The sequence below is a fragment of the Homo sapiens genome, chromosome X (assembly GCF_000001405.40).
Source record: "Homo sapiens chromosome X, GRCh38.p14 Primary Assembly".
NCBI lineage: Eukaryota > Metazoa > Chordata > Mammalia > Primates > Hominidae > Homo > Homo sapiens.
Window position 1 is genome coordinate 135,879,311 of NC_000023.11, and position 14,229 is coordinate 135,893,539.

Here is a 14,229-nt window from a genome sequence, read left to right on the forward strand (position 1 = left end):
TGGACAAATAGGAACACTTTTACACTGTTGGTGGGACTGTAAACTAGTTCAACCATTGTGGAAGTCAGTGTGGCGATTCCTCAGGGATCTAGAACTAGAAATACCATTTGACCCAGCCATCCCATTACTGAGTATATACCCAAAGGATTATAAAACATGCTGCTATAAAGACACATGCACACGTATGTTTATTGTGGCACTATTCACAATAGCAAAGACTTGGAACCAACCCAAATGTCCAACAATGATAGACTGGATTAAGAAAACGTGGCACATATACACCATGGAATACTATGCAGCCATGAAAAATGATGAGTTCATGTCCTTTGTAGGGACATGGATGAAGCTGGAAACCATCATTCTCAGCAAACTATCGCAAGGACAAAAAACCAAACACCGCATGTTCTCCCTCATAGGTGGGAACTGAACAATGAGAACACATGGACACAGGAAGGGGAACATCACACACTGGGTCCTGTTGTGGGGTGTGGGGAGGGGGGAGGGATAGCATTAGGAGATATACCTAATGTTAAATGATGAGTTAATGGGTGCAGCACACAAAAATGGCACATGTATACATATGTAACAAACCTGCACGTTGTGCACATGTACCCTAAACCTTAAAGTATAATAAAAAAAAGTACCTGGCACAATTAATATTTGTTGAATAATTGAATGAATTAATTTTTTTAAAAAAAGCATAGAATGGGCTGGGTGCAGTGGCTCATGCCTGTAATCCTAGAACCTTGGGAGGCTGAGATGGGCAGATCACTTGAGGCCAGGTTTCGAGACCAGCCTGGACAACATGGCAAAACCCCATCTCCACTAAAAATACAAAAATTGCAGCGTGATGGCACCTGTGGTGCACCTGTAATCCCAGCTACTTCGAAGGCTGAAGCACAAGGATCGCTTGAACTGGGGTGAGGTCGAGGTGGCAGTGACTTGTGATCGTGTCACCGCACTCTAGCCTGGGCAACAGAGCAAGATTCTGTCTTTAAAAAAAATAAAAAGCATAGAACGTTCAAGTCGTATCTGGAAACAACAGCCTTACAGGGACTGCTACTGCAGCTCCAAATTATTGTATCAGACCAATCCTATCTAGGAACTACCTTTATTATATATATTGGATATACCCCCCCACACACGCATACATATATATATATGGGGGTGTATATATAATATGTGTAATGTGTATTATATGTATAATGGGAGATTAGAAAGTGTGTGTGTGCATGTATATATACCCCCTACCAACACACACACACACACACACACACACACACACACACACACACACATTAAAATCTCCCATTAGTTCTGCCTTTTCGTTGAAGGCTGATGATACAGATTTCAACATTGAGATCGGGTTCCCACCACACGAGGGGCTAAGGAAGAGTATGTGTGATATGTCTAGAGAGCTTCTTAGTCCTCCTGTGTTTTTCGATTAGAGTTAATGGAAAATCACAGCAACCCCATCCAGGCAGGATATCTAATGGTTCAGACTCTTCCGTAATGAAGGTTTGAGTCATCTTGCCAGGCCAAGCATCATGACCAACTGACATGCTATCTCAGGGCAAAGGGAATGCGAAACGGGTAGCGAAAGAAGGTAGTTATAAACGCCAGCTACATCAGTGTGAGCTGCTGCAGAAACCACGACTGTAATAGTATTTACCTAATGGGTTAATAATATCTACCAGCACAGGTGGGAATACAAAATAACCAAAACACAAGTTATCCTTTCAAATAAAACGCTTTGGGAAAAAGAACATCTTTTACTAACAGAAATTTCTTAGCCTCTGGAAGGCCAGTTGATTCGGTAACATATGCCAGGAGACTTCAGCAATATCCTGCTCCATTGTAGAAAACAGCAATCTGATCCTTTTCTCTCCTCAATCATTAACGAGATTATGCATTTGGGGTGTGATAATCCTCCAGGGACAAGTATTCTCAAATCATACGTTTCAGTTTCTTCTTAAGGTGCTTAACAAAGTCTCGTCTCATACATCTGAAGAGAAAGAGACATGTCATTAACCAAAAGATAGCCAAAGAACCTATGCTGTAGGAAGCGCTGTGACAGATAGAAAGATGAAGTAACAGTCAGCATGGAAATAGAAATGTATCTGCATGGTAAGAGGCAGTCTAGCCGGCATAACAAATGCTGGCAAGGGTGTGGAGAAAAGGGAACCCTCATACACTGTTGGTGGGAACATAAATTACTACAACAACTATGAAGAACAGTTTGGAGGTTCCTCAAACAACTAAAAATGGAGCTATCATATGATCCAGCAATCCCACTGCTGGGTATATACCCAAGAGAAAGGAAGTCAGTGTACCAAAGAGATATCTGCACTCCCATGTTTCCTGCACCACCATTCACAGTAGCCAAGATTTGGAAGCAACCTAAGTGTCCACTAACACGTGAATGGGTAAAGAAAATATGGTACATATACACCATAGAGTACTGTTTAGCCATAAAAAAAAGAATGAGATTCAGTCATTTGCAACAACACGGATAGAACCGAAGGCCCTTATGTTAAGTGAAATAAACCAGGCACAAAAAGACAAACTTCACATGTTCTCACTTATTTTTGGGAGTAAAAGTGTAAAACAACTGAACTAATGGAGATAGAGAGTAGAATGACAGTTACCAGAGGCTACAAAGGTTAGTGGGGGTGGAGGGTGTGGGAAGTGGGGATGATTAATACGTAGAAGTATGGAATAAATAAGATGTCGTATTTCATAGCCCAACAGGGTGACTATAGTTGGTAATAATTTAATTGCACATTTAAAAATAATGAAGAGTATAATTGTATTCTCTGTAACGCAAAGGATAAAAGCTTGAGGTGATAGAAACCCCACTTACCTTGATGTGATTATTACACATTGTTGTCCGTATCACAATATCTCATATAGCCCAGAAATATATGCATCTGCTATGTGCCTACACAAATTTTTTAAAAAGAGGTAGTCTAGCAAATACAAAGAGTGTCAATTGAGGGACAATGCGCACCTCAGACTATGGTGAAAATGGAAGTCTCCATAGTCTTCGAAGAATGAGTTAGACTCAGATAACATTAGCCTAAGTAACTGTGGAGACAGCCATAACTGTGAGTGAGGACCAGGGTTTGAGAAACGCAAGGCAGGGGCTGTTCCCCAACGCTCATCCCCAGTACTCTATTGAGCCCAAGTGCTTAAAGAAATTGGACAGTTCCTATTTCTACCCACCTTGCTGCTTCCTTGATGATGGATTCAAAAAATCGTTTCCTGACTGCAGTAGGTCCTTGCACTCCTTCAAGCATTTCGAAGATTTTTTCATATTCTGAAGATGTTGAAAAAAAAACTTCAGTATTATCAAATATAAAGAAGAATAGAAGTGAATCTACACCTCAGCAATCATGCTTCAGAGGCTGAAATGTTTTAAATGCTTAAATCAAGATACCTGCACATACAAAACCTAAATAATAAAAAAGACACCTGCACATACATACGAATGTAACTCCTTTAACCATAACCAAGTAAGAAAAGAAAAAGAAAAAATGTACATGCTTTAGTCAAAGAAAAGAGGAACCACCATAAATTATGTGCAGTCTCAACTCTGGCAAAGAATGAGCCTCAAGAGGTAACATGGATATCTTCTGAATCATAGAAAGAGTGACTTCCTACAGTTTTATAAAACAGACGTTCTTACACTACTTACTTCGTCCAAGGCATCGGATTTCCTTCACTACTTGACATTTTATATCAGCATTAATTTCTTGTTGGCTTTTGGGAGAGGAGGCTATTCCTCTGCATTCTAGGTCATCTCCAGAGAAATTGCTGGTAACGTTTCCTCCCACAGGTGCATTGCTACCAGGTTTCTGCATCATCCCATCTTTGCTGAAACCAGTGAAGTCATCAATCTGAGAATCCAATTGGCTGGGTGGAATAGCATGTCCTGTCATAAGCTCTGGTGAAACAAATTTTGAGTAAAAGCCATCAGTTGGTGTTTGACCACTTTCTTTCCCCTCCACATAAACCTCATGAATGACAGATCTGGAAATCAAACTGAGAAGTTGAGCTGTGAGATACGTGTGTTTCATCACCCCTCTGGGTACATCTATGTGCTCCTCAGTTTCTAGGGAATTATTTATTTCATAAATGGGAGGATACACCAGGGAGAAATCCCAGGCCTGACAAACGGAGGCCAGGACACATAATACAATAAAACCACCTCCTATTTTCTGTCGCCTTGAATAGATATGGAAACCAAGTAAGGCAGTACAACTCTAAAGCAACATTCACAGATCCCTGGTACTCATGGGACAGTTTCAGCTTGTTATGCTTTACAAGGTGAAAGCAGCAAGTCTCACTTGATATCATGATTTCTCAAACTCACTTACAAACTGCCATGCTTTACTGAGCTGGAACCCAGGCAACTGGGATACAACTCAACCGGTCTCCTGTTATATCAAACACATTCTGAGAAAATAGAGGCGGCCATTACTGCTAAAAGTTCTATACGCACTCCACCACCAAAAAGTCCCTTTTACTGTATGATTTTCCTCATCCTTCCTTTCTGTCTCACAAAAGTGACTTTCTTTTCACTCCAGGTCTGACACCTCTCATTTATTCATCGTCTGTGGCAGGCAGCGTGCCGGTAGCTGGGGATCAGCAGTAAACAGCCCAGAGAGCAACGTTCCCTGCCCTTGTGGAGCTCACATCCTCATGGGGCGGTCAGACAGTACGTGCACAATGAGCAAATGAAACATACAGTGTTGGGCTAGTGGTAAGGAAGCAGTCCACAGGCCTGTGGGCAACAGCAGCAGAGGGAGCCCCAGGAGCTGCTGCTGGTTGGGCAGAGCCTTCTGTGGAGGTACCCTTGGGCAGGGCTTGAAGGAAAAAGCAGAGCTGCCTGCGCAGAGGCAGAGGGGGAGTTCCAGGTTGCGGTGAGGCCAAGGATATGGGCTGGAGTGGGGATGGACCGGGCACTATGGGGTGAAGGACAGTAGCAGAGAGAGTCAGGAGATGATGGGGCCCGTGTGAGGAGAGGGTGACGGAGGCCAGGCCACGCAGAACCTCGCAGACCAAAGCTGCTTCGCAGTCGGTTCTGAGTGCTTAGGAGTGTTGAGGATGGGTGTTCAGGAGCGACATGGCATCACGTGATTTACATGCCAACATCATGACCCGGCTGCAGGGTTGGAGGGTATGTGTTTGATGCGGGAAATAATGGGAAACATGGAGGTATCTCAGGAGCTCAGTGATTGATCGTGGCAGAGTGGAATAGAAGGAGAGAGAGAGATGCTGGGGTTCAGGAATTTTTTACAGTATTTAGAGAAGAGAAGAAAAAGAAATGTAGAAAAAAACAATGATGGGGTCGGGGGCGGTGGCTCGTGCGTGTAATCCCAGCACTTTGGGAGGCTGAGGTGGGTGGATCACCTGAGGGGGGGAGTTCCAGACCAGCCTGGCCGACATGGCGAAACCCCATCTCTACTAAACTTACAAAAATTAGCTGGGTGTGGTGGCTGGTGCTTGTAATCCCGCTACTCGGGAGGCTGCGGCAGAAGAATCACTTGAACCCAGGAGACGGAGATTTCAGTGAGCCGAGATCGCGCCACTGCACTCCAGCCTGGCTGAGAAGAGCGAAACTCCATCTCAAGAAAAAAATGATAGGGATTCACCAATACGGACAAGAAATTAAAAAAAAAAAAAAGATTGTCGGAAATGGAAATCCTAGAAGGTTTTCATGAAGAAGCGAGTGAACAACTGTCAAATGCTGCTGAGAAGTTAATGGCAATGTCAGCCGAAACTGTTAACCTTGACAAGGACAGTTTCTCTGGAGGGGATGAGGCAGGAGCATGAGGAGGACGTGAGGACAGGCTTACTTACTCTTTTCTTTGGACATGGCAGAGCCTGCAATAAGGCTGTCTCCTGCTCCTTGTTTCCTTGCCAACAGGGCCATCCTCTGCCTTTTCTGATACGAAGGACTGTCACATTCCCTGGGACGTTTAAACACAGTTTCAGGATCTACAGCCACCTTCTCTGTTTTATCGGTCATTGTTTCCTGAAAAACATCAATGAATATATTCCATTCATGACAAAAATCTAACAATCACAAAATGGCAAGCAATCTGCATATGTGTATACAACCAAGACTTTGAATCATTAATTTCACTTTTAATCATGAGCCAAGATTTACCAAGTCTCAACAAACACTCTGTTCTCAGGAAAAGAAACCTAATTTTAATGTACACAAAGTAAAACAGAAGAAAGATGGTATAACCAAATCAATCAGAATGCTTGTGGAATAAGCAGCTGTCATCAACCAAAAATAGATAAAAATATTATTACCTATTTGAAGATGTATAAGCCAATCTGTATTAACCCTTATTAGAAAAAATGGATGTATAAACCAATCTGTATTAACCCTTATTATACATTATATTTTAAATTATATATTATATATCATATATATTTAATATATAAGTATTTATGCTTATATATTCAAATAGATGCATAAACCAACGTGTATTAACCCTTATTAGGAACCCTTATTAGAAGATTGATACAAAACTGATAACAACATCTGACAAGGAATTTAGAAGAATGAAAAACTACAAGATCAAGCCAAAAATACAAGCCAAGATCACCCCGAACTTAGACACAAAAATTCCAAACTAAGGGTGAGCAAATAAAATGTACTAGTACTTAAAAAGGACATACATCAGCCATGGTGGAGTATATTGCAGAAAGGCAACACTGATTTAACATTTGAAAATCGACAAATGTAGTGCACCACATTAACAACAACAACAACAACAACAACAAAAACAGGGAAACACTGCATGATCATTTTCATACATGGATCAATGTTTAAAGTCCATTCGTGATAAAAACTATCACCAACTTAGGAAAAAGGGCAACTTTCCTATTCTGGTTAGCATATGTACAAAAAATTTTTAAATGCCATACTTCATAGTGACGTATCAGTATTTTCTCCCTGAGTTTGAAAACAAGACAAAGATGTCCACTATCCATTCAACAATTTACTGGAGGTTCCAAAAAGTGCCATATCATCAGGAAAATACAATAGGTTTAAAATTTGGAAAGAAATAAAACTGTCATTATTCACAGATGACATTGTTCTGTACATAGAAAAATGCAGAAGAATAAAATCATTACAGTTAATAAGCAAATTTAGTCAACTTACTAGATACAATGAAAACCAATGGCATTTCTGTATAATGAATAGCAATTCTGTATAATGAATGGCATTATACAGAATGGCAATTCTGTATAACGAATAATTAGAATATGAGATTTCAAATGTCATTAAAAACAGTTCCAAAAACATCAAATATTTAGGAATAAATCTAATCAAGATGTGCTAGAGTACTTCACAAAAATTATAAAACATCACTCAGAGAAATTCAAGACTGCAGTAAATGGAGAAAAATATTCTTTCCATGCATTGGAAGACATTTTTTTTTTTTTGAGTCGGAGCCTCGCTCTGTCACCCAGGCTGCAGTGGAGTGGCACAGTCTCTGCTCACTGCAACCTCCACTTCCCAGGTTCAAGCAATTCTCCTGCCTCAGCCTCCTGAGTAGCTGCGATTACGGGCGCCTGCCACGACGCTGGATAAAGAAAATGTGGTACATATACACCACGGAATACTATGCAGCCATAAAAAAGAATGAGTTCACGTCCTTTGAAGGGACATGTGTCAGCAAGCTAACACAGGAACAGAAAACCAAACACCACGTGTCCTCACTCATAAGTGGGAGTTGAACAATGAGAACACATGGGCGCGGGGAGAAGAACATCACACAGTGGGGCCTGTCAGGGGTTGGGGGGCTAGGGGAGGGATAGCGTTAGAGAAATACCTAAGGTAGATGACGGGTCAATGGGTGCAGCAAACAACCATGGCATGTGTCTTCCTATGTAACAAACCTGCACGTTCTGCCCATGTATCCCGGAACTTAAAGTATAATTTTAAGAAAAGGAATATTATCGTAATGGCATTGGGTGAGTCAAAGATGTTTCTTAAAATAATAAAAAGCACTATCCATAAATAATACACTAATTAATAAAATTAAGAGAATCTGTTCATCTACAACACATTATTGAGATCGTGTAAAAGCAAAAAAGATTTATAGAAGATACTAAAATTGTATATGTATTTTTGTATATGTACATATACGCCTGTGTGCCTGTGCGTATAACTCAAATACAGAATATATGGAAACTACAAATCCATTTTTAAAATACAAACATCTCAGTAAAAGCTGGGGGAAAATACCTGAAAAGGAACTTCATAAAAGGCATAGTTAAATGACCAATAAACACATAAAATGGTGCTAAAAAAAAAAAAAAGAAAACAATAAATAGCTGGGTGTGGTGGCACTGCAATCCAGTCTGGGTGACAGAGGGAGACCTCATCTCAAAAGACAAACAAAAATCAATAAATAAAAACAATTTCTTAAAAAGGTGCTCGATCTCATTAATCAGCAGAGAAATGCGAGTGTAGACATAAGGAGAGATCACTGCACACCCATCAGAGTGGCTGGAATGAAAGACTAACTGTACTGAGAGTGTTCGAATGTGGCACAGCTGGAACCTTCGAATATTTCTGGACTCCCATTCCCACACAGACACCTGAGGCTGTGGCTGAAAGGTCAGATAGAATCCCAGGAAAGAGCTCCTTCAGAATTGCGATCAACCAACCGAGGAAAAGCACCCCAACCTGGGTCGAGACAGAGTTCCCAAGGTCACGTGGCCTCCTTCATGGCTGACACAGAGCTCCCTGAGTCCCACCATAGGCTTAGAGAATCCAAGGAACATTACCCCATTCCCCGGCGGCACCGGGAGAGAGCACCTACAGATAATAATTTTAAAAACCCAGCACCAAGAGAAAGCATCCAGTAAGCGTCCACAACGGGGATAAGCAGAACCAAAGAAAAGCCAACACATTGTAACTGAGAGCGAGCAACATCCGAGGACAAATGCGCCTCACGGCCGACATCAGTACCCAAGGAAGAGTCCACCAGAGGTTGAGATAAAGCCCCCGACAGTGACCCCACAGGGCTACGATCATGTGTCCGGGGCACAGCCACCCCCACCACGTTCCATGAGCACAGATAGTGTCCCCAGGGCAGAGTCCCCCCTCAGGACAGCGACTGAGCGGGAAAGAAACACCGCCGCACCCGAGGCCGACACAGGCAACCAAGGCATGGCCCCCACCCCCCGGGCTCAGGTCATTTCAGCAGGAAAAGTCGCCTTTTCCATCACCGACAGGGAGCCCCCAACAAGAGCCCCCAAGAAAAGCCCCCTGGCCCCACAACATAGCCGAGACGGGGTGCCCAAGGAAAACGCTCCCCCGCGGCTGACACAGGCGCCCATGGCGGTGTCCCCAGAGCTAAGCCACTTCCCCAAGGGAGCCCTCCCACACACCAGACAGAGAACACCACAGAAAAGACTCTTTCTGAGGAAAAAGGACACTTTCCAGGGCGAAATTAAAGCATCCAGGGAAAAACTGCCCACTCACAGTCCTGAAGTCCTGACCTTGCTGGAGGAGAGACGGCGGCACCTCACAAAATGGCAGTGAAGTTGTGGCGCCTCCCCACTGGTGGCACTTTCTAGAAACCTGCCCTCTGGGAGTTGTGGGAAATGTGCCCCCTAGGGTACCTGGGAGTGATGTGCATGGGGAGGCGTCTCACCAGAAGCACCGATCCTGTTTGGCCCAAGGGGGATGGAAGGAAGGGAAGTAGCCAGCCACAGCGTGCCTGCCCCAGCCGAACACTGGGAACCTGTTGGGGGCGCCAGAGTGCTGAGGAGAAGCCTCGTGCCCCAGAGAACCAGGAAGCGCAGCCCTCCCCTTCGTTGACTCTGGCGCCCTCTGCAGGCGACCTTCAGTAACAACTGCACAGCAACATAAGCAGAGGAATGCAGAACCTTCTCACCCAGCGGGATGAAATCGCCTGGGTAACATAGTGAGACCCTGGCTCTACAGAGCAACCAACCAACCAAAAAAACGCAGACAAAAATTAGCTGGGCATGGTGGCGTGTACCTGTGGTCCCAACTACTCGGGAAGTTGAGGTGGGAGGATCGCTTGAACCCGGGAGGTGGAGGTAGCAGTGAGCCAAGATCGTGCCAGTGCACTCTCCATCCCAGACCATACAGAAGACTCCATCAAAAAAAAAAAAAAGAAAGAAAGAAAAAGAAGCAACAACAACAACAAACTGAAATTTTCATTTGAGGGGGTTGTTTTTTAAAGTCAACCCCGACCGGGCGCAGTGGCTCACGCCTGTAATGTCAGCACCTTGGGAGGCCGAAGTGTCTGGATCACCTGAGGTCAGGAGTCCAAGACCAGCATGGCCAACATGGTGAATCCCGTCTCTACTAAAAATACAGAAAATTAGCCAGGTGTGGTGGCACGCACCTGTAGTCCCGCTAAGGAAGGAGACCACTACTACTCCTGCTGCCCTCCTCCCCCTACCTTGCCTAGTTCACAAGACAGGAGGAAAGAAAGAAAGCAAAAAGTTGGAAAAAAAAAAAAAAAGTAAAATAAATAGCCAGACAACCTTGGCACCACCACCCGGCCCTAGGAGTTAAAAAAAGTAATAATAATTTCAACCCCTGACCTAAACTACTTGTGTTATCTCTAAATTCCAGACACTGTATGAAAAAAAGCATTGTAAAACTTATTGTTCTGTTAGCTGCTGCATGTAGCCCCCAGTCACATTTCCCACACTTGCTCAATTTATCACGACTCTTTCACGTGGACCCCTTAAAGTTGTAAGCCTCTAAAAAGGCCAAGAATTTCTTTTTCGGGGAACTCAGCTCTTATGATGCAAGTTGGCTGATGCTCCCAGCCGAATAAACCACTTCCTTCTTTAATCCAGTGCCTGAGGAGTTTTGTCTGCGGCTCATCCTGCTACATTTCTTGGTTTCCTGATTAACGGACAGTCGAGGCAGCCCCTTAGGCAGCTCATGCCTGCCCTGTAGAGCATCCCTGCTGGGAACTCTGGCCAGCTTGAGCGATGCAGATCCTGAGAGCGCTCCGGGGTAGGCATTTGCCCCTGTGGAACGCCTTGTCAGAGCAGTGCACAGCAGGCCCCCGCGGAGGATCAACGCAGTGGCTGAACACCAGGAAGGAACTGGCACTTTAAGTCTGGACATCTAAAACTTGGTAAGACTGGTCTTTGGAACTTGCCGACTCCATTTGAGTGGAAGCATGGCCAGATCACCCACGGTGTACCTGTACCAGCCCTTTGGTTTTTGTTTTTGACTTGACTTGAATTGCTTGATAATTTTAGTTTTGATTTTGACTTGACTTGAATTGCTTGATAAAAAGGCGTGCCTTTATTGGCACTTTGGTTTACCTTCCATGGAATGGAAGACATTATTAAGAGACATTATTGTTAATTCTCTCAGAATGAACATACCAATCATTTAAAATTCCACCGTGTTAACAAAATTTTTTCTGAAAATTGACAAACAGATAATTGTTTTAAGTATGTGCAAATCGAAGGTTTGGTAAAGCTAAGACAATCTTTAAGAAAAAGAACTAAGTTGGTAAATACACACTACTAAATATGAGATTTACTATAAAGGTAGAGTAATTAAAACCGTGTGGTATTGGAGCAATGACAGGTAAATACACCAAGGGCAGAGGACACAGAGGCCAGAAACAATCTGGAAATGGAAAATAGCTAGATTTACCACAGGAGAGCTCCTGTAAATCATTGTGGAAAGACTAGTGCTTTTAATAAATGCACTTCATAAATGCAGGGAAAATACAAACTTTGATTCTTACCCCATCCCACTGCAGAAAACATTATTAAAGATAGATAGTGAATCCAGTAAAAAATATAAGATATTAGCTTTACAGCTTTAGAATAGGCCAAGGTGTTTTTGATTAGGATAAAAAAGCTCTAACCATAAAGAATACATTGTTTAATTAGACATAATTAAATGTAAAACTTCTATTCCTCAAAAGACACTCTTAAGAGAGTGGAAAAGCAAAGCATATATGTAGATTACATATTATATAATGTATAGGATAGGTTATATATAAAAATATACATTAATCATATATAAATATATATAGTATATATAATATAATATTTTATATATATACATATATATGTATCTGACAACAACTGAGTGGAATCCAGAGTATATCCAGAACTACAAATCAATTTTAAAAGCAAACATCGCAATAAAATTTGGGGGGAAAAGCTGAATATGCATATCATAAGAGTCATACTCAAATATACCTTTAGTAATCACATAAAATATACCCGGACTCTGACTTTACTCCATTCCATGAAAATTTATTTGAGGTGAATAGGAGATCTAGAAGAAAACTTAGAATATTATCGTCATGGCATTGGGGGAGGCAAAGATTTTCACTTAAAATAATAAAGAGCTCTAGCCATAAACAAGACTGATTAATAAGATTAAGAGAATCTGTTCATCTAAAACACATTATTGAGATAGTGTAAAAGCAAAACAGATTTGTAGAAGACATTAAAATTGTATATGTATTTTAATACATGTACATATATGCCTGTGTGCATGTGTGTACAACTGAAACCCAGAATATATGTAAACTACAAATCCATTTTTAAAATACAAACATCTCAATAAAATTTGGCAGAAAAGACCTCAAAGGGAACTTCCTAAAAGACATGGTTAAATGACCAATAAACACATGAAAAAGTGCTCCGAAAAAAAAAAAACAATAAATAGCTGGGCGCAGTGGCTCACGCCTGTAATCCCAGCACTTTGGGAGGCCGAATTGGGCAGATCACTTGAGTCCAGGAGTTCGAGACCAGCCTGGGCAATTTGGCAAAACCCCATCTCTACTAAAAAATACAAAGATTAGCCAGGCTTGGTGGCATGCGCTTGTAGTCCCAGCTACTGAGGCACGAGAATCGAGCGAGCCTGGGAGCCCAAAAAACAATCAAAAATCGATAAATTAACACTTTTAAAAAGGGTGCTCAATCTCATTAATTAGCACAAAATTGCAAGTGTAGACATAAGGAGAGATCACTACACTCCCAAAGAGTGGCTGGAATGAAAGAATAATTGCACAGTGAGTTGTGTGCATGTGGCGAATCTGGAACCTTCAAACATTTCTGGACCCCGATTCCTGCACAGACATCTGAGGCTATGGCTGAAAGGTCAGATAGAATCCCAGGGAAGAGCTCCCTCAGGACTGAGAACCAACCAAGGAAAAGCACCCAACCCTGGGGTGAGACAGAGTTCCCAAGGTCAGCTGGGTGCCCTCGTGGCTGACACAAGAGTTCCCCGAGTCCCACCACAGGCTCAGAGAATCCAAGGAACAGCACCCCACTCCCCCACAGCACCAGGAGACAGCACCCACAGATAATAATTTTAAAAACCCAGCACCAAGAGAAAGCGTCTGGTAAGCGTCCCCATCAGGGATAAGCAGAACCAAAGAAAAGCCAACACATCCTAGCTGAGAGCGAGCAACATCTAAGGACAAATGTGCCCCACAGCCGAGAACAGCACTCAAGGAAGAGTCCCTCACAGGCTGAGATAAAGCCCGCGACAGAGAGTGACCCCATAGGGCTGTGATCATGTGTCCAGGGCACAGCCACCACCACCCCGGCCCTTGAACATAGACAGAGCTCCCAAGGCAGAGTCCCCCCTCAGGGCTGCCACCGAGCAGGGAAGAAACACGGCCACACCCGAGGCTGACACAGGCAACCAAGGCAGGGTCCCCAACCCTGGGCTTAGGTCATTTCAGCAGGAAAAGCCCCTCACATCACTGAGGGAGCCCCCAAGAAAAGCCCCCCGGACCCACAACATAGCCGAGATGGGGTGCCCAAGGAAAACGCTCCCCCATGGTTGACACAGGCTCCCATGGCGGTGTCCTCAGAGTGGAGCCACTTTCCCAGGGAACCCTACCACACACCCGACAGAGAACACCTCAGAAAAGACACTTTCTGAGGAAAAAGGACACTTTCCCGGGCGAAATTAAAGCATCCAGGGAAAAACTGCCCCACTCACAGTCCTGAAGTCCTGACCTTGCCGGAGGAGGGGCGGCAGCACCTCACAAAATGGCAGTGAAGTTGTGGCGCCTCCCCACTGTTGTAACTTTGTAGAAACTTGCCGTTTGGGAGTTATGGGAAACGTGCCCCCTCGCGTGCTTGGGAGTGATGCTCATGGGGAGGCGTCTCACCAGAAGCACCAATCCGGAAAGGCTCAAGGCGGATGGAAGG

General features: G+C 43.4%; 1 protein-coding gene across 6 annotated transcripts, besides 1 other annotated feature; it reads right to left on the reverse strand.

The window, feature by feature from the left end:
• Nucleotides 1-1,754: 1,754 nt before the first annotated feature.
• On the reverse strand, nt 1,755-14,134 carry CT45A10 (cancer/testis antigen family 45 member A10). Of its 6 annotated transcripts, NM_001385219.1 has the most exons (6): nt 14,035-14,134; nt 12,256-12,334; nt 5,866-6,040; nt 3,698-3,946; nt 3,226-3,319; nt 1,755-2,005 (listed from the first exon to the last, which is right to left on the reverse strand). In NM_001385219.1, exons 3-6 carry the CDS (start codon nt 6,032-6,034, stop codon nt 1,948-1,950), a joined length of 570 nt encoding a protein of 189 aa, NP_001372148.1. In that variant the 5' UTR covers nt 6,035-6,040; nt 12,256-12,334; nt 14,035-14,134; the 3' UTR covers nt 1,755-1,947. The 6 variants fall into 6 exon arrangements, with proteins under 6 accessions (NP_001372148.1, NP_001278458.1, NP_001278459.1 ...); NM_001291529.2 differs by lacking the exon at nt 12,256-12,334; NM_001291530.2 differs by lacking the exon at nt 12,256-12,334 and having other exon boundaries at nt 14,018-14,134.
• Nucleotides 9,641-9,935: an enhancer, noted in NCBI's record as "tiled region #13624; K562 Activating DNase matched - State 18:Pol2". NCBI's record gives its function as "activates a minimal TATA promoter and a strong SV40 promoter by Sharpr-MPRA in K562 cells {active_cell/tissue: K562}" and the evidence as "EXISTENCE:reporter gene assay evidence [ECO:0000049][PMID:27701403]".

Bases quoted from the DNA above. Each gene is read 5' to 3' on its own strand.
- CT45A10 (NM_001291529.2), bottom strand. From the start codon at position 6,034: ATGACCGATAAAACAGAGAAGGTGGCTGTAGATCCTGAAACTGTGTTT. The intron at 3,947-5,865 runs GTAAGTAAGCCT...TTGTTTCACCAG, and splicing joins TGCCATGTCCAAAGAAAAGA to AGCTTATGACAGGACATGCT. The intron at 2,006-3,225 runs GTGGGTAGAAAT...CTTTCTCTTCAG, and splicing joins ATCATCAAGGAAGCAGCAAG to ATGTATGAGACGAGACTTTG.